The 21,006-nt window shown below is 37.6% G+C and overlaps 1 long non-coding RNA gene across 1 annotated transcript in view, besides 1 other annotated feature; it reads right to left on the minus strand.

Annotated features, from left to right (window-relative positions):
* CLCA4-AS1 (CLCA4 antisense RNA 1) overlaps window positions 1–21,006 on the minus strand; it is a 133,313-nt gene that overhangs the window by 103,133 nt on the left and 9,174 nt on the right. Inside the window, exon 4 of the long non-coding RNA NR_135837.1 lies at window positions 18,850–18,977. This is a non-coding gene — a long non-coding RNA (CLCA4 antisense RNA 1). The remainder of the gene's footprint in view (window positions 1–18,849; window positions 18,978–21,006) is intronic.
* Window positions 9,913–10,560: an enhancer, noted in NCBI's record as "OCT4-NANOG-H3K27ac-H3K4me1 hESC enhancer chr1:87149909-87150556 (GRCh37/hg19 assembly coordinates)". NCBI's record gives its function as "activates a minimal SCP1, AML or CMV promoter by ChIP-STARR-seq in naive and primed H9 embryonic stem cells {active_cell/tissue: H9 hESC(naive and primed)}" and the evidence as "EXISTENCE:reporter gene assay evidence [ECO:0000049][PMID:30033119]".

Genomic DNA, 21,006 nt, shown 5'->3' on the forward strand with positions numbered 1-21,006 from the left:
TAATAAACATGATTTCTCTGAAAAATAAATTAAAAAATAGGTATAATTAGGCCAGGTGCAGTGGCTCATGCCTGTAATCCCAGTACTTTAGGAGGTCAAGTCAGGAGGATTGCTTGAGACCAGTAATTTGAGACTACCCTGGGCAACATAGCAAGACTTTATCTCTACAAATAAAATAAAATAAAATAAAATGAAACTATTAATACGATAAATAAGAGCTTTAATGGAAAAGGAAACATGTGCAAGAACAGAAGCAGGGATAATACAAGCAGAAACATGGAAATCCTAAGAAAGAATCAAAATGAAATGCTAAAAATAAAAAATACTGTAACAGACATGAAGCATGTCTTTGACAGGCTCATCAGTAGACAGGACACAGCTGAGAAGCAGAGAAAAGAAACAGTATGCTTGAAGATATATCAATAGAAACTTCCAAAACTGGGAGAGAAAAAAAAATACCTTCCAAAACTAAGAAAGAGAAAAAAACAAGATGAAATGATGAAATAGAATACTCAAAAACTGTGAGACAATTATAAAACACGGGTCAACAAAACTCAAAGAACACCAACCACAATAAGTATCAACAAATCCACACATAGGGATATCATATGCAAACTTCAGAAAACAAAGATGAACTCAAAGTCTTGGAGAAATAAAACAGAAATAAAAAAGACCTTACCTATAAATAAACAATGATTAAGAATTACATCATACTTCTCTTCAGCAATCAGGCATGCAAGAAGAAAGTGGAGTACACATTTAAAGTTTTGAAAGAACCAAAAATAAATTCTTTTTTATTTTTTGGAGATGGAGTCTCACTCTCAGTCTCAGCTCACTGCAACCTCCGCCTCCCAGGTTCGAGCTATTCTCCTGCCTCAGCCTCCCAAGTAGCTGGGATTACAGGCACCCGCCACCATACCTGGCTAATTTTTGTATTTTTAATAGAGGCGAGGTTTCACCATGTTGACCAGGCTGGTCTTGAACTCCCGACCTCAGGTGATCCTCCCGCCTTGGCCTCCCAAAGTGCTGGGATTACAGGCATGAGCCACCACGCCCAGCACCCTCCAACATAGAATTCTGTACCTAGCAAAATTATTCTTCAAAAGTGAAAGAGAAATAAAGATTTTCTCAAACAAAATGAGGCATTTGTCTTGCAAGAAATGTTAAATGAAATTTTGTGGTGCCCGTCCTTCAAGATGGCCTCCAGTGATTCTTGCCTCCTGGTACATATGTCATTGTGTAGTTTCTTTTCCTAACTGCATAGGTCTTCAGATCAAAAGAAACTGTACTTAAGGAACTATACCGAAGGAGCTTCATCTGCCCCCAGGCCTAATTTAGATGAGATTTTGGACTTCAAGCTAATGCCATTATGGAATGAGACTTTGGGGAGCCTTGTCAGGAGAATGAGTAAATTTTGCATGTGGGAGGGGCATTAATTATTGGCAGCCAGAAGATGGACTGAGGCAGCCAAGTTCCAAGATGACCCTCAATGATACTTGCTCCCTTATGTAGTCCTCTCCACACTGAGGAGAACTGACTCGTGCAATCAATAAGATATTTCAAGAATGTTGGAGGGTAACTTCCAATGCTAGATCATAAATGACAAATGACATTGTAGCCTCCACTTTGCTGTCTTCTAGATCACTTGCTGTAGTGGACATCAGCTTCCATGTTGTGAGGATATTCAAGAAGCTCTACCAAGAGGTTTATATGGCAAGGAGCTAATGCTGCCAATTGCCAGTATCAGCTTGCCATCCATGTGAATGAACCATCTTGGAGAAGAATATTCTACCCACCCCCCATCAAGCCATCAGAAGACTATAGACCCAGGTAACATCTTGACTGCAACCTCATGAGAGATACCAACTCAGAACTACCCAGATACGGTACTTCTGAATCCCTGATTCACAGAAGCTGAGAGACAATAAATATTTGTTGTTGTTTTAAACCACTAAACCATGGTGTAATCAGTTATGCAGCAATAGGTAACAAATTCAGATTTCAATAAAAATTCTAGGACATTTAGCAACCATATCTTCCAAATTATACAAAATAAACCTAATTTGATTTTGAAAAAGATTAGTAAAATGGAGGAATTTCCTTCCCAAGTACTAATACAATCTAGAAAGCTATAGTAATAAATATAGCATTTAATTATATGGAAACAACAACGTAATGGAATAGAATAAAAATTCAGAAAGAAAAAAGTCTAATAAAGGAAGCACTATAAATCAATAGAGAAAAGATAAACAAATTTCCAGAGAGCATTAGGAAAACTAGTTCAACATATAGAGAAGAGTAAAGTAAGTCATGTGATATACACACATGAATTCCATTTGGAATAAAATGTTCAACTTAAAAGGCAAATTTTAAAATTTTAAAAATTTAAAAATTGCAAATTTTAAAATTCTAAAAATAATAGAAAATGAAGGAAAACATATGAGTGAGCTTAGAGCTAGAAAGACTTCTTAAGAAGGACCTAAAAGCACAAAATACTAAGCCCCCCAAAAACGATGGGTTTAATTACCCAAATTAAGAATTTCTGCTTGCAAAGGACACCATAAGCAAAATTAATGACAGACTAGAGAAGCTATTTGCTATATTTAAGGCCTACTAAGAAATTAATATTTACCAGGTATAAGGAACACCTGCAAATTAACAAGGAAAAAAGCAGGAAACCTCAATGGAAAAATGGATAGAGGATGTAAATAGGCAAATCCTTTAAAGGGAAGCCTAATGGCAAGTAAGTATTAAAATCCAAGAAATGTGCTAGTAATCAGAGAAATGACAATTGCAACAACAATTGAGATATAATTTAATATCCATCAGATGCACATAAACTTGAAAATCTAGAGGAAATGGATAAATTCCTGGAAAGACACAGCCTCCCAAGTTTGAACCAGGAAGAAACAGAAATCCTAAACAGACCAATAAGAAGTAGTGAAATTGAATCAGTAATAAAAAAAAACCTTACCAAATTAAAAAAAAGTCCTGGACCAGATGGATTCACAGCCAAATTCTACCAGATATACAAAGAAGGGCTGGTACCAATCCTACTGAAACCACTCAAAAAAATTGAGGAGAGATTCCTCCTTAACTTATCCCATGAAACTGATACCAAAATCTGGCACAGACACAACAGAAAAATAAAACTATAGGTCCATAACCCTGATTAGCATACATGCAAAAATCCTCAACAAAATTTTAGCAAACCAAATACAGCAGCACATGAAAAAGTTAATTCGCTGGAATCAAGTGGGCTTTATTCCTGGAATGCAAGGATGGCATAATTTATGCAAATCAATAAATGTGATTCACCACATAAACAGAATAAAAAACAAAAACCATATGATCATCCTAATAGATGCAGAAAATGTATTCAATAAAATCCAACATCCCTTCATGATAAAAACCCTCAATAATAAGAGCTGTCTACAACAAAGCCACAGCCAAAAACATATTGAATGGGCAAAAGTTGGAAGCCTTTCCCCTTAAGGAAAAAGACGGCCTGGTGCGGTGGCTCACGCCTGTAATCCCAACACTTTGGGAGCCCAAGGTGGACGGATCACTTGAGTCAGGAGTTCGAGACCAGCCGGGCCAACATGGTGAAACCCTGTCTCTACTAAAAATACAAAAATTAGCTGGATGTGGTGGTGGGTGCCTGTAATCCCAACTACTCAGAAGGCTGAGACAGGAGAATCGCTTGAACCTGGGAAGCAGAGGTTGCAGTGAGCTGCAATCGTGCAGGTTGCAGTGAGCTGAGATTACGCCACTGCACTCCAGCCTGGGCAACAAAGAGCAAAACTCCATCTCAAAAAAAAAAAAAAAAAAAAAAAAAAAAAGAACTGGAAAAAGACAAGGATATCCATTCTATCCACTCTCACCACTCCTATTCAACATAATGCTGAAAGTCCTAGCTAGAGCAGTCAGGCAAGAGAAAGAAATAAAAGGCATCCAAATAGGAAAAGAGGAAGTTAAATTATCTCTCTTCACTAACAATAGAATTGTATACCTAGAAAACGCTAGAGATTCCGCCAAAGGACTCCTAGACCTGATAAACAACTTCAGCAAGGTCTCAGGATGCAAAATCAACATACAAAAATCAGTAACATTTCTATACACCAATAACATTTAAGCTGACAGCCAAGTCAATAATGCAATCCCATTTACAATAGCCACAAAAAAAAAAAATACCTAGGAATACATCTAAGCGTAAAAGTGAAAGATCTCTACAAATGCAACTACAGCACACTGCTGAAAGAAATCATAAATGACACAAACAAATGGAAAAGAATTTCATGCTCATGGGTTGGAAGAATCAATATTGTTAAAATGGCCATACTTCTCAAAGCAACCTACAGATTGAATGCTATTCTAATCAAATTACCAACATCATCTTTCACAGAAGTGAAAAAAACTATTCTAAAATTCATATGGAACCAAAAAAAGTAAAAGAAAAATATTAACAACTCAACAAAAAAATGGGCAGTCAATTTCAGAAAGACGGGAAATTAAAAGGCCAATTACCTAAAGAAATGAGTCTCAATCTTGAAGATAATTAGAAATGTAGGTTTTCTTTAAAAATTATAAGTAGATACTATTTCCACTCAATTATAATATCAATCAAATTTTTGTGAAAATGGGAGGACTTTTTTGGAGACAGTTTTGTTGTATTTGGTAAAATTAAAAATATGCGCACCACATACAGCTATATCCCAATTTATTTGTGTTCCAGGATATGTGAAGAAAGACATTCACTATAGCATATTTTTTTTTTATTATTATACTCTAAGTTTTAGGGTACATGTGCACATTGTGCAGGTTAGTTACATATGTATACATGTGCCATGCTGGTGCGCTGCACCCACTAATGTGTCATCTAGCATTAGGTATATCTCCCAATGCTATCCCTCCCCCCTCCCCCGACCCCACCACAGTCCCCAGAGTGTGATATTTCCCTTCCTGTGTCCATGTGATCTCATTGTTCAATTCCCACCTATGAGTGAGAACATGCGGTGTTTGGTTTTTTGTTCTTGCGATAGTTTACTGAGAATGATGGTTTCCAATTTCATCCATGTCCCTACAAAGGATATGAACTCATCATTTTTTATGGCTGCATAATATTCCATGGTGTATATGTGCCACATTTTCTTAATCCAGTCTATCATTGTTGGACATTTGGGTTGGTTCCAAGTCTTTGCTATTGTGAATAGTGCCGCAATAAACATACGTGTGCATGTGTCTTTATAGCAGCATGATTTATAGTCCTTTGGGTATATACCCAGTAATGGGATGGCTGGGTCAAATGGTATTTCTAGTTCTAGATCCCTGAGGAATCGCCACACTGACTTCCACAATGGTTGAACTAGTTTACAGTCCCACCAACAGTGTAAAAGTGTTCCTATTTCTCCACATCCTCTCCAGCACCTGTTGTTTCCTGACTTTTTAATGATTGCCATTCTAACTGGTGTGAGATGATATCTCATAGTGGTTTTGATTTGCATTTCTCTGATGGCCAGTGATGATGAGCATTTCTTCATGTGTTTTTTGGCTGCATAAATGTCTTCTTTTGAGAAGTGTCTGTTCATGTCCTTCGCCCACTTTTTGATGGGGTTGTTTGTTTTTTTCTTGTAAATTTGTTTGAGTTCATTGTAGATTCTGGATATTAGCCCTTTGTCAGATGAGTAGGTTGCGAAAATTTTCTCCCATTTTGTAGGTTGCCTGTTCACTCTGATGGTAGTTTCTTTTGCTGTGCAGAAGCTCTTTAGTTTAATTAGATCCCATTTGTCAATTTTGGCTTTTGTTGCCATTGCTTTTGGTGTTTTGGACATGAAGTCCTTGCCCACGCCTATGTCCTGAATGGTAATGCCTAGGTTTTCTTCTAGGGTTTTTATGGTTTTAGGTTTAACGTTTAAATCTTTAATCCATCTTGAATTGATTTTTGTATAAGGTGTAAGGAAGAGATCCAGTTTCAGCTTTCTACATATGGCTAGCCAGTTTTCCCAGCACCATTTATTAAATAGGGAATCCTTTCCCCATTGCTTGTTTTTCTCAGGTTTGTCAAAGATCAGATAGTTGTAGATATGTGGCATTATTTCTGAGGGCTCTGTTCTGTTCCATTGATCTATATCTCTGTTTTGGTACCAGTACCATGCTGTTTTGGTTACTGTAGCCTTGTAGTATAGTTTGAAGTCAGGTAGTGTGATGCCTCCAGCTTTGTTCTTTTGGCTTAGGATTGACTTGGCAATGCGGGCTCTTTTTTGGTTCCATATGAACTTTAAAGTAGTTTTTTCCAATTCTGTGAAGAAAGTCATTGGTAGCTTGATGGGGATGGCATTGAATCTGTAAATTACCTTGGGCAGTATGGCCATTTTCACGATATTGATTCTTCCTACCCATGAGCATGGAATGTTCTTCCATTTGTTTGTGTCCTCTTTTATTTCCTTGAGCAGTGGTTTGTAGTTCTCCTTGAAGAGGTCCTTCACATCCCTTGTAAGTTGGATTCCTAGGTATTTTATTCTCTTTGAAGCAATTGTGAATGGGAGTTCACCCATGATTTGGCTCTCTGTTTGTCTGTTGTTGGTGTATAAGAATGCTTGTGATTTTTGTACATTGATTTTGTATCCTGAGACTTTGCTGAAGTTGCTTATCAGCTTAAGGAGATTTTGGGCTGAGATGATGGGGTTTTCTAGATAAACAATCATGTCGTCTGCAAACAGGGACAATTTGACTTCCTCTTTTCCTAATTGAATACCCTTTATTTCCTTCTCCTGCCTGATTGCCCTGGCCAGAACTTCCAACACTATGTTGAATAGGAGCGGTGAGAGAGGGCATCCCTGTCTTGTGCCAGTTTTCAAAGGGAATGCTTCCAGTTTTTGCCCATTCAGTATGATATTGGCTGTGGGTTTGTCATAGATAGCTCTTATTATTTTGAAATACGTCCCATCAATACCTAATTTATTGAGAGTTTTTAGCATGAAGGGTTGTTGAATTTTGTCAAAGGCTTTTTCTGCATCTATTGAGATAATCATGTGGTTTTTGTCTTTGGCTCTGTTTATATGCTGGATTACATTTATTGATTTGCGTATATTGAACCAGCCTTGCATCCCAGGGATGAAGCCCACTTGTTCATGGTGGATAAGCTTTTTGATGTGCTGCTGGATTCGGTTTGCCAGTATTTTATTGAGGATTTTTGCATCAATGTTCATCAAGGATATTGGTCTAAAATTCTCTTTTTTGGTTGTGTCTCTGCCCAGCTTTGGTATCAGAATGATGCTGGCCTCATAAAATGAGTTAGGGAGGATTCCCTCTTTTTCTATTGATTGGAATAGTTTCAGAAGGAATGGTACCAGTTCCTCCTTGTACCTCTGGTAGAATTCGGCTGTGAATCCATCTGGTCCTGGACTCTTTTTGGTTGGTAAACTATTGATTATTGCCACAATTTCAGAGCCTGTTATTGGTCTATTCAGAGATTCAACTTCTTCCTGGTTTAGTCTTGGGAGAGTGTATGTGTCGAGGAATGTATCCATTTCTTCTAGATTTTCTAGTTTATTTGCGTAGAGGTGTTTGTAGTATTCTCTGATGGTAGTTTGTATTTCTGTGGGATCGGTGGTGATATCCCCTTTATCATTTTTTATTGCATCTATTTGATTCTTCTCTCTTTTCTTCTTTATTAGTCTTGCTAGCGGTCTATCAATTTTGTTGATCCTTTCAAAAAACCAGCTCCTGGATTCATTGATTTTTTGAAGGGTTTTTTGTGTCTCTATTTCCTTCAGTTCTGCTCTGATTTTAGTTATTTCTTGCCTTCTGCTAGCTTTTGAATGTGTTTGCTCTTGCTTTTCTAGTTCTTTTAATTGTGATGTTAGGGTGTCAATTTTGGATCTTTCCTGCTTTCTCTTGTAGGCATTTAGTGCTATAAATTTCCCTCTACACACTGCTTTGAATGCGTCCCAGAGATTCTGGTATGTGGTGTCTTTGTTCTCGTTGGTTTCAAAGAACATCTTTATTTCTGCCTTCATTTCGTTATGTACCCAGTAGTCATTCAGGAGCAGGTTGTTCAGTTTCCATGTAGTTGAGCGGCTTTGAGTGAGATTCTTAATCCTGAGTTCTAGTTTGATTGCACTGTGGTCTGAGAGATAGTTTGTTATAATTTCTGTTCTTTTACATTTGCTGAGGAGAGCTTTACTTCCAACTATGTGGTCAATTTTGGAATAGGTGTGGTGTGGTGCTGAAAAAAATGTATATTCTGTTGATTTGGGGTGGAGAGTTCTGTAGATGTCTATTAGGTCTGCTTGGTGCAGAGCTGAGTTCAATTCCTGGGTATCCTTGTTGACTTTCTGTCTCGTTGATCTGTCTAATATTGACAGTGGGGTGTTAAAGTCTCCCATTATTAATGTGTGGGAGTCTAAGTCTCTTTGTAGGTCACTCAGGACTTGCTTTATGAATCTGGGTGCTCCTGTATTGGGTGCATAAATATTTAGGATAGTTAGCTCCTCTTGTTGAATTGATCCCTTTACCATTATGTAATGGCCTTCTTTGTCTCTTTTGATCTTTGTTGGTTTAAAGTCTGTTTTATCAGAGACTAGGATTGCAACCCCTGCCTTTTTTTGTTTTCCATTTGCTTGGTAGATCTTCCTCCATCCTTTTATTTTGAGCCTATGTGTGTCTCTGCACGTGAGATGGGTTTCCTGAATACAGCACACTGATGGGTCTTGACTCTTTATCCAACTTGCCAGTCTGTGTCTTTTAATTGCAGAATTTAGTCCATTTATATTTAAAGTTAATATTGTTATGTGTGAATTTGATCCTGTCATTATGATGTTAGCTGGTGATTTTGCTCATTAGTTGATGCAGTTTCTTCCTAGTCTCGATGGTCTTTACATTTTGGCATGATTTTGCAGCGGCTGGTACCGGTTGTTCCTTTCCATGTTTAGTGCTTCCTTCAGGAGCTCTTTTAGGGTAGGCCTGGTGGTGACAAAATCTCTCAGCATTTGCTTGTCTGTAAAGTATTTTCTTTCTCCTTCACTTATGAAGCTTAGTTTGGCTGGAAATGAAATTCTGGGTTGAAAATTCTTTTCTTTAAGAATGTTGAATATTGGCCCCCACTCTCTTCTGGCTTGTAGGGTTTCTGCCGAGAGATCTGCTGTTAGTCTGATAGGCTTCCCTTTGAGGGTAACCCGACCTTTCTCTCTGGCTGCCCTTAACATTTTTTCCTTCATTTCAACTTTGGTGAATCTGACAATTATGTGTCTTGGAGTTGCTCTTCTCGAGGAGTATCTTTGTGGCGTTCTCTGTATTTCCTGAATCTGAACGTTGGCCTGCCTTGCTAGATTGGGGAAGTTCTCCTGGATAATATCCTGCAGAGTGTTTTCCAACTTGGTTCCATTCTCCACATCACTTTCAGGTACACCAATCAGACGTAGATTTGGTCTTTTCACATAGTCCCATATTTCTTGGAGGCTTTGCTCATTTCTTTTTATTCTTTTTTCTCTAAACTTCCCTTCTCGCTTCATTTCATTCATTTCATCTTCCATTGCTGATACCCTTTCTTCCAGTTGATCGCATCGGCTCCTGAGGCTTCTGCATTCTTCACGTAGTTCTCGAGCCTTGGTTTTCAGCTCCATCAGCTCCTTTAAGCACTTCTCTGTATTGGTTATTCTAGTTATACATTCTTCTAAATTTTTTTCAAAGTTTTCAACTTCTTTGCCTTTGGTTTGAATGTCCTCCCGTAGCTCAGAGTAATTTGATCGTCTGAAGCCTTCTTCTCTCAGCTCGTCAAAATCATTCTCCATCCAGCTTTGTTCTGTTGCTGGTGAGGAACTGCGTTCCTTTGGAGGAGGAGAGGCGCTCTGCGTTTTAGAGTTTCCAGTTTTTCTGTTCTGTTTTTTCCCCATCTTTGTGGTTTTATCTACTTTTGGTCTTTGATGATGGTGATGTACAGATGGGTTTTCGGTGTAGATGTCCTTTCTGGTTGTTAGTTTTCCTTCTAACAGACAGGACCCTCAGCTGCAGGTCTGTTGGAATACCCTGCTGTGTGAGGTGTCAGTGTGCCCCTGCTGGGGGGTGCCTCCCAGTTAGGCTGCTCGGGGGTCAGGGGTCAGGGACCCACTTGAGGAGGCAGTCTGCCCGTTCTCAGATCTCCAGCTGCGTGCTGGGAGAACCACTGCTCTCTTCAAAGCTGTCAGACAGGGACACTTAAGTCTGCAGAGGTTACTGCTGCCTTTTTGTTTGTCTGTGCCCTGCCCCCAGAGGTGGAGCCTACAGAGGCAGGCAGGCCTCCTTGAGCTGTGGTGGGCTCCACCCAGTTCGAGCTTCCCGGCTGCTTTGTTTACCTAAGCAAGCCTGGGCAATGGCGGGCGCCCCTCCCCCAGCCTCGTTGCCGCCTTGCAGTTTGATCTCAGACTGCTGTGCTAGCAATCAGCGAGATTCCGTGGGCGTAGGACCCTCTGAGCCAGGTGTGGGATATAGTCTCATGGTGCGCCGTTTCTTAAACCGGTCTGAAAAGCGCAATATTCGGGTGGGAGTGACCCGATTTTCCAGGTGCGTCCATCACCCCTTTCTTTGACTCGGAAAGGGAACTCCCTGACCCCTTGCGCTTCCCAGGTGAGGCAATGCCTCGCCCTGCTTCGGCTCGCGCACGGTGCGCACACCCACTGGCCTGCGCCCACTGTCTGGCACTCCCTAGTGAGATGAACCCGGTACCTCAGATGGAAATGCAGAAATCACCCGTCTTCTGCGTCGCTCACGCTGGGAGCTGTAGACCGGAGCTGTTCCTATTCGGCCATCTTGGCTCCTCCCCTCACTATAGCATATTTTTAAGAGTGAAGACTGGAACAATCTAAGCATCCAGCAATAAGGAAATTGACAAATAAAATGTGGTATATTCATGTGATGGACTTCTATAAAACAGCTAAAAGAAATGAATTCTGGCCGGGCGCAGTGACTCACACCTGTAATCCTAGCACTTTTGGGAGGATCACCTGAGGTCGGGAGTTCGAGACCAGCCTGACCAACATGGAGAAACCCTGTCTCTATTAAAAGTACAAAATTAGCCAGGCATGGTGGCACGTGCCTGTAATCCCAGCTACTCTGGAGGCTGAGGCAAGAGAATCGCTTGAACCCGGGAGGCGGAGGTTGCGGTGAGCCGAGATTGCGCCATTGCACTCCAGCCTGGGCAACAAGAGCAAAACTCTGTCTCAAAAAAAAAAAAAAAAAAAAAAGGAATTTCATCTAATCTATATTAAACAGATTTGAAATATATAATACTGTGTAAAAAAATTACAAAATGATAGGTACAATATGCTATCATGTACATAAATTACAGCATAAGATATACTATATTTGTCTGTAAATATAAATAAGTAAAAGTATTTTTAAAACTGGGCAGGAAATACATTAAACTCTTCCTAGGGGAGGTTTTGAGTGAAGGGCAGAAAGGTGAATGAGACTGAGAGTGTTGATTTAGTTACCTAGATCTTAAGCTTAAACAATAATGTTTTAGCCCTTAAAAAAACTAAGTTATGATTTTAAAAATTGTTATTCCTATATGAGAAGAATGAAAGTTTTTGTTACACTATTATCTATATTTTTCTGGGTTTTTTAAATGTCTTAAATGTAAAAGAAAAATATATTTCACTCCAGCCCCATTAAATAAATTTACAAATATTTTCAAAATATAAATTGAATCAGGGACATTAGCTATTGTGCCCACATATCTCGATGCAGTTCTGAATACTTACAGGTGCATACTGTATAGTAAAAATGAGGAAATTAGCCTATGACATGGCTCTAACAAGAGTAGTATATATACTTTCCTTAGTAGGCAGATGCTTGAGCAAATTGTAATATGATTTGAGCTATATTTTTAGAAGTATTCATCTTGAAAACTTGTGTAAAGGAAAGTGAAATGGAGAGATAATTTTGGAGGCTATTAAAGGAGTCTAGGCCAGAAGTAATATGTTAGCATTAATAAATGATAACAAGTAATAAACATGGAAGGAAAAGAATGAATCTGTTTTCTCTCTCAACCTCCTTTACTATCATATCAAAGCACCAATGCTACTTTAAAAATGTTGATTAAGTGCAAGATATATTATCTTAATTCTTAACTCTTCCATGGAAATGTTCTCATTAATTTTGAGAATTAAACAATTAGTCTTTGTAAACTGTCCATAGATAAATTTTAAGCCATTCAAGTATGAATTTGACATTGCTATTTTGTATATTCATCTACCATGACCAAAATATGAGAGGTTTGTAACCCATAGTATTTACAAAATTAATATCTTCTGCTCTTAGATTTAGACATTTATAACAAAAATTTTTAAAACAAGATATATTGAACTATAACTTATCACATGCCAATCACTGTAGTAGCATTTTCTGTATATTTTTCTATTTAATCTTTACTTCAGCATAGCAAGGTAGACATTGTATTATAACCCCAATTAACTGGGACCTGAGCCTCAGAGATGTGAAATACCTTGCCCAAGTTCAGACTGAAGCTAGTAAATGGTGATGCTGAGATACAAACCAAGATCTAATTCCAAATTGTATGCTCTTTCCACTACCATCCTAATCTCTTCCGCTAACCAACATCATTTATTTATCTCATAAATGAAATCCCAAGTTCCACGTGCCGTGAATGTTGACAAGACTATTGTTATTAAAACATCTTTATGTTTTAATACACAGGAAGGGGAACATCACACACTGGGGCCTGTTGTGGGGTGGGAGGAGGGGGGAGGGATAGCATTAGGAGATATACCTAATGTAAATGATGAGTTAATGGGTGCAGCACACCAACATGGCACATATATACATATGTAACAAACCTGCACACTGTGCACTTGTACCCTAAAACTTAAAGTATAATTAAAAAACAAATAAATAAAAAATAAAAAATAAAAAATCTTTATGTTTTCAAAATAGGGAGTTACTTTTATTTAAAATGTTTTTATAAATAATTTTGATAGGTTATACTACCTCTTTTAGAGCCTTTAGGAACAGCTATTTAACTTTTTTAAACCCTAGTTTTCAAAAGGAGGTTAATAATACTATTTATCTCACAAAACTTTTATTAATGAAGACACTTTTAATTACTATCATAACTTACTAATGGAGATTAAATGAGATAAAACATATAAAGTGTTTATCAAAGTGTCTGATATATAGTTGGTGTTCAATAAATATTAGCAGTTATTATTTTTTATTATATTTTATAAGTATTTTATTATTGGGACAGTGCAAGTCTTTGGTAAGAAACCCAAAATATCTATAACCTTCCACAGCACAAGAGGATTATATCCTGGGTACTCAATATACAATCATGGAGCATCCATAATCTTAATTTCAAAGGTATCTACAAAAACATTACCTCTCTTCATCAAATTAACAACATGAGAATCATCTAACCAGTCAACTGAACACTGGAATCATACACAGTACTTTAATTTTATAACAAATTTTTAGGTTAGTCTGACATCTAGTGGAATTATCATAGTCATTCAAAAGATTTAAAATACATACTTTAAAAAAAGACTAACAACATTCTATTAAGTAAAAGACCAATATCTAATGTAATCTTTAAAATAAAAAAGGAAAATAAATTTGAGTAGTGCCTATGTGTCAGGTACTGTGCGAAAAGCTTCCACATACCTTATCTCACTCATTTGTTCAGAGTATTTAGTGCCTGCTATGTGCTAGGCTTGTATTATATAAAACATTTTTAAAAGCAGATATGATTTCTGACCTTTTTGAGCTTATAGATTAGTAGGGATTAAATTACACAAATTATTATATAAATGAATATAAATTGTGTTTAGAGACATGAAGGACTTACAAGGGAATCCCTAATTTAGTACGGAGTTTAGGAAGGGCTTCTCTGAGAAAGTGATGAGCCAACTCCTAAATAATGAGCAGCAAGAGAGATTTAAGGCAGCAGGAAAAGCATGAGTGAAGGTGCTGAGGTGGGAAAAGTTTTGTTATCTAAAGGAATTTAAATAAGGGCAGTGTGGTTACAGTTGTGAGTAAGGGAGACAGCTATACCAGATGAGTCGAGGAAGGTAGGTGGCAGGCTAAACAGGGCCTGGTGAAAGGGTTGGCCATATTGGGGATTCATGATTTTATCACTTTATGATAGGTATAATAGAAATCATTTGAAGTACAGTCATCCCTTAGTATCCACAGGGGACTGGTTCTAGGATGCCACTCTTCCCCCTTGAATGCTCAAACCCCTTATATAAAATGGCATAGTATTTATATACGCCATACCTATGCATATCCTCCTTTAAAGAGATGATACTTTAAATCATATCTAGATTACTTATAATACCTAATACAATGTAAGTGCTATATAGTTATTATACTGTGTTGGTTTTTATTTGTATTGTTTTTACTGTCATGTTTTTGTCTTTAATTATTCTTTTTTTCCACATATTTTCTATCCCTGGTTGGTTGAATCTGTGCTTTCAGAGCCCATGGATATGAAGGACCAATTGTAGTTAAACAAGGAGAGATAATGAGATACACGGTTTTTTAAAACACCCTGGCTCCTATGCAGAAACGAAATGGAAGAGGATGAACATGAATGTAGGGGGAAAAATTAGGACCATTTAGGAGAGTATTTCAATAGTCCCAACAACAGATGGTTTTGGCTCAGACTATCATGGTTGCTATCAGTAGATTCAGATCTGCTGAATATTGAATATTGGGAGGGAATTGAATTGAATTGAATACTGGGAGGGAGGTAAGGATGAGGAACCAGAGAGCATTGAAAATAGTCCCAGATTTTTATCTTGAACAACTGAGTCAATCGAAGTATTAAGATGAGTAAGAGTGGGAAATATTATCTTTGAGGATAAGATTAAGCTTTTTTTTTTTTTTTCAAGACAGCATCTTGCTCTGTTACCCAGGCTGCAGTGCAGTGGAGCAATCTCAGCTCACTGCAACCTCCACCTCCTGGGCCCGGCTAAGTTTGTATTTCTTGTACATATGGGGTTTCATCATGTTGCCCAGGCTGGTCTCAAACTCTTGCATTCAAGCAGCCTCCACCTGCCTCAGCCTCCCAAAGTACTGGCATGAGCCACCATGCCTGGCCCAAGCTTTTATTATCAAAGAATAACTGAGATATTTGGTTATTTATATGAAAATTTTTTTCACATATAGGGAAACACTCATTATACTGTTGTCAAGCAACAAGGGCAAATGCTTCACTTCTGAGAGAAAAAAAACTACAGTCTGGAAAGACTGAGTCTTGTTTGCACATTTTTCTTGGTAAACTGATTAGATGGCAGCAAAGAGGTCAGCCTAGGCAGTCTGTCCTTGTGAAGTTTGTCCAAGCGTAACAAAGAAGACAATTTCAATTGTATTTGATTATTCCCAAAACCTGCAAGTTTACTGAGGAGCATACTGGAATCGACTGTCTTAGGATTATGTCTATCAAGACCCTTCCATTCTCCAGCTTTGTTGAGCCAGGCCTGCATCATTTAACTCATCAGTATTTCTCAACTCCCTCCTTTTGGTCAAAACAAACTCCAAAAGATGCAAATTTTACAATCAAAGGTTCAGTACCTTTTGACTTAATATTATCCACCTGATATCAACTTAAAATAATCAATGTGAAATCTTTAGATTCCATTCATTGATCTAGGTGACTAGAGAAGCCAGGACAAACCATACAGGGCCTACAGGCCAGGATACAGATTTTGTTCTTTATCCTAAGACTAATGAGACATCACTAAAGGATTGAAATCAATAGAGTAATTTGATGAGAACCTTTATTTTAAATTTTCTAAAAAATTTTATGATAGTTATTAGACAATTGGAAAAGTGCTCTCTGGATATTTTCTAACATTAAGGAACTGTTGTTAATTTTATGTGTGATAATGATTTTGTGGTTATGTTTAACCAAACAAAAGAGTTCTTATCTTTTAAAGATTTACACGGAGAAATGTTAATAGATGAAATGAAAAGAAAATTGGAAGTCATCTGCGTATAAATAGATACATATAAATGGAGAAATTTTCTGTTTTAGAGTGAGAAGAGTTATGAAATGTATCTTGAGGAACTTTGTCAATTAAAGGCCAGAAAGATGGGGATGAGCAAAGAAACCAGACTATCTATTGAGAGGTAGGAGGAAAATCAGAGAAGTGTTGTCATGGAAACCAAAGAAAGAGAGGTTTCAAGAAGGAAATAATGCATACAAATTTAACGCATTAACACAGCACCTGGAATATGGCAAACATTCAACAAATATTGCGCTTATTATGAAGATGATTGAGAAACAAGTGGTACAGAATATCAAGTGATGGTAAGAGGTCAAGATAGTAATCACCAGTAATCTTAAAGAGAGTAATTTCTATGGAGTGGTAGGATAGGAGCAGAAACTACATTGGAGTGTTTCAAGGGTAATTGGGAGGTCCAGATATTGAGACAATAATTGGAGATAATTTTTTCAAGATGTTTCACTGGTACGGGAAGGAGATAAACAAGAAAGTGGCTGAAATAGGGTTGTGATAGTAAGTAGAAGCAATATTTGCGTTTGTGACAATTTGGGGGAGGAGAAGTTTAAAAATAAGAGAGACTGGCTGGGCGCGGTGGCTCACCCTTGTAATCCCAGCACTTTGGGAGGCTGAGGCAGGAGGATCACAAGGTCAGGAGATCGAGACCATCCTGGCTAACACGGTGAAACCCCGTCTCTACTAAAAATACAAAAAAATTAGCTGGGCATGGTGGTGGGCACCTGTAGTCCCAGCTACTCAGGAGGCTGAGGCAGGAGAATAGCGTGAATCCAGGAGGCAGAGCTTGCAGTAAGCCAAGATCGCGCCACTGCACTCCAGCCTGGGTGACAGAGCGAGACTCAGTCTCAAAAAGAAAAAAAAAAAATAGGAGAGACTGAAATGCCAGTAAAAATTCTGTAGAAAGGGAAAACATGAAAATATAAAAGGGAAAAGGGATAAACATATGTGTTTTAAGAAGGTGGGAGACATAGGATCCAGAACATACAGGGAAAGGACTGTTCTTTGATGGACAGAAAAACATCTCTTTTATTGTAACAGGAGAGAAGGAGAAATGATATGAGCAAATGTACGAAGGTTGAAAAGGTTCTGTTTTCATTCTCCCTTACCTGGGAAGATAGTTCTCTGGAGTGCCCTTTTAGTGTCCAAATCTGTGGAATTTCCTGTTCTTATTGTCTTGTGCAATATTTTATATTATAGATCATTACTTTTTAAAAACTCTCTCCTTTTTAAAATATATTTCAAGGAGACAAAACAGTCTAAAAATAATATAATAAATGCCCATGTATACTAGCTTAAAAGATACAAAGGAAGCGTCAATTCCTTTCTTTTTCTCTCATAAATAATCATTATTTTGAATTAGATGTTTATAATTCCCATGCTTGTTTTTATACTTGTATTAATTACATGTATCATATATGTATCAATAGTATATAATATACATGAATATAGATATAATAAATATATATATATCTTTAAGCGATGTAGAATATTGGCTGAACTATTTCAGTTTTCAGTGCCAGTTAGTCTGTAAGAGGTAAATTTTTTCAGTCTGAAAAGTGCCATAATTTGGTACTCTTAATTGATAGTTTAGTGGGCATCAAATTGTAGATTTATAAGTGTATTTGTTTTTCCTTAGCTCTATGAGGATACTATTTCCTTAACTTCTGGCTCTTAGTATTATTCTTGAGAAATCTATTATTGCTCTATTGCTGACCTAATTATTTCTTTGTAGGTAATCTATCTTTGATATCTGATTTCTTTCTAGATTTTATCTTTGTCATTGCAGCACTACAATTCACTGCTTTCACAATTTCAATGTGCCTAGGATGTACTTCTTTTTATTTATTCTGCTTAAGATTCTTTGACTTGAGATAGTCTTTCATCAGTTTGGGGAAATTATCAGTCATTGTCACATCAAACTTGTCTCTCTCTCTCTTTCTTCTTTCTTATCTTACTTTCTGAAAATCTTGTTAGTTAGTGTACTGAAGTTTCTCATTCTATCCTCATTTTTCTTAATCTATATTTTTCATTCCCTATTTCTCCATACTGTTTTCTGTATAATTTCCTCAGAACTATCTTGCATTTACTAATCTCCCTTCATTGGTATCTAATATGCCGTTAGTTAGTCCATTAAGTTTTCAGTTTAATGACTTTATTTTAAATGTATAGATGTTCAATTTTTTCTTTAAATTGAACTTTTTTTGTTTGTTTGAATGAGTGGAGAGTTTAATAGGCCAGGAAGAAGGAAGAAGGCAGAAGGAAGAAGCTCCCCTGTACAGAGACAGAGGGTGGGGGGGCTCCAAAGCCAAGAGAGGAAACCCCAAATGCAATAGACACCAGCCAGGTATATATGCAGAGGCTGGAGGAGCTGGTGTCCGATTTGCACAGGGCTCAGGAGATTGATTTGACTAGGCATGTCATTCACATAGCCCATGAAAAAGCTGGCGCTCCCATCCTAGCCTTTTAATATGCAAATGTAAGGCATCATGATGTTCTACACACGTGGGGATATGTGGGGGTAGGCATGTTGCCAGGAACATGTGGGGCAAGGGCAAGAAGGCTGCAGGAATTACCATGTTTGGGTGGACGCAGTTTCTAATAGCCTGTATTTGCATATCAAAGGTTGCCGGCCTGGCTCTAAGAGCGGGGGCTTTACAAGAAATATTTCCAGAGATGCTTTTAAAAATGAAAACTTCCCAAGGACCCCTTTTCCTCTCTATCTGCCTAAAATAATTTCTTAATAACTCCTACAACATTCCCCCCCACCGGGGAGAGGCCACACTAACTGCTGTTAGAGGGTTTGGAGCGATGACTTCTTCTGGCTACTTACGGCTGAAAAGGGGCATCGAATGGGGAACAGCAGCTAGGGCTCCTCCTGGGGTGGATCTAAGGGTCCTCAGAAGAATGGCGTGTCCATGTGGGGTTCAGTTTGCAGCACCATTTGGAGTTTGATTGCTTCTAGGTGAGAAGAAACAATTCGAGTTATAGTATTGAGTATACAGGGTCCAAATATCAATACAAGACATATAAGCAAGAGAGGGCTTAATAAAGGGGTTAACCAATTCCATAAAGAAGGCTGGAATTTATTAAAGAGGGATTGTAGCCATCTGGGGCTGAAGCTGGCATTTTCCCTGAGCCTGTCAATAATTTTGATTTGATCTTTAAGTACCTGTAGATTTTTCTCTACTTTACTAGGTGTTAATCATCACTAAACCCAATAAAAAGTCCTAGCAGACTCAGTGATAGTAAAACTTTTATGCTTCCTTTTTGTCAGTAACTATTATTCCTACTATAAGGATAATAATTAAGCAAAATACAACAGCAATGGAAACTCTGTTCAATATTTCAATTAGAAGGTGCTACCATGTATAACCCTATTGCAAATAGTAGAGTGAGTATAGCAGTTCCCACAAGTGTGGTGTAGTAGATAATTTCCATATAAAATTTTACTTGCCAAGATATAGAATTTCCCTTTGGCGGTCTGTGAAGCTTTGCTTTTATTTTCCCAAACAAAGAAAACTCCAGGTTATGGATACCCTACTTACTTTCATTACCTGGCAGAATTTGCAGTATAATTGCCCAGAGCTAGTGTATTGATTCAGATTTTTACGTTACCCATCCCTTTTTATTTCTTCCAAGCTGCAGAAGATTACCATTTTATTCACAGGAATAAGAAGGATTAGTTTAAAATGTAAGCAAAAATCTTAAAAACAATTGAGATGAGGATTTAATGACAAATGTATGATAAGCTTTGGAGCAAAATTTTTCTCTCCAGTTCTCATTTTTGGTCAAAACTAATCATGAATGAACTTTAGTCTTATACTTGGCTTGATTATTTGCATGAAGTGCAGTAAGAATAGTTATTTCTACATAGGTCTCTTGGATTGGCTTTGATGAAACTCTGTTCCACAAGGAATCTTAGATAAGACCTTTAAAGCCGAGCCCAGCAATGGGTCTGTATCCTCAAATACCTGTGAGTTGGGTGATCCTCACTTCTTGAGGTCCCAAGAGAAACTCCGAGCTTCCAGACCTGTTAGAAAGTGACATTCTTTATTGACTACAGGTTAGGAACCCTGTGCGGGGACTGTATAGACAAGGTATGAGGCCAGTTCTCCAAGGGGCTTTTATTGGCTCTGCATGTCAAGCTTGATTCCTTAAAGGGAAACACACCATTTCAGCCAAAGCCTTGGTAAAATAACCAGTTTATCCAATTGTGTCCTGTTGACAAAGAAAAATGCATTCTTATTGCACTGATGCAAACAACTATACTGCCATAAGTTAAGAGTACTTACAGGTAGTCTCCAAATTTTAGAGGAACCAGGTGGAGATAAATGAACATGCTCCAAATTTTGTTTACAGTAGTATACCTTACTCAATTATTAATGGCCATTAATAGTTTAAAATAAGTTTCCTTGACTCTGAAAAACAAAACAAGGATCAGCAATATTCCAAGCAAAAGTTAAAAAGATTACTTAAACTTTTTGAATGCAGTCCACTTAGTTAACTCTTGTTTTGCTTAATATTTGTGAACATGTCAGTTCTATAACTGTCTTTATTTTTACAGTGTCTTGCTGTTTTCTTCAGATTTTAATCTTCCTTTACTTTTCATTCTGTTTATCTTCTATTTCAAATCTTATTTATCACAGCCATGCAAATGACTCCAAAGTGTCTATCTTTAACCCAGTGTTCATTCCCAAGCTTTAATCACATATTTCCAATTGCTTTCTAGACATTATTAGACATCTTATGCCTCATGCTGTGAGATTTATCTGACTACTCAAATAATGTATCCATTCTGTGACTTATGATAGCACTCACCTCGCTTGATACTTGGCAATAGCCAGTGTAGGTCCTCTTTGCATGTGAATAGGACTGCATGTCTCTGAGTACAGGAATCATGTTTTGTGCTTCTTAGAAGACTTCTGGGTATCTTTAACTCTACCACGACCACTTGAATACCTCCCAAGCCAGGCTTTCTTAGATTCAA

This window comes from Homo sapiens, chromosome 1 (assembly GCF_000001405.40).
Source record: "Homo sapiens chromosome 1, GRCh38.p14 Primary Assembly".
NCBI lineage: Eukaryota > Metazoa > Chordata > Mammalia > Primates > Hominidae > Homo > Homo sapiens.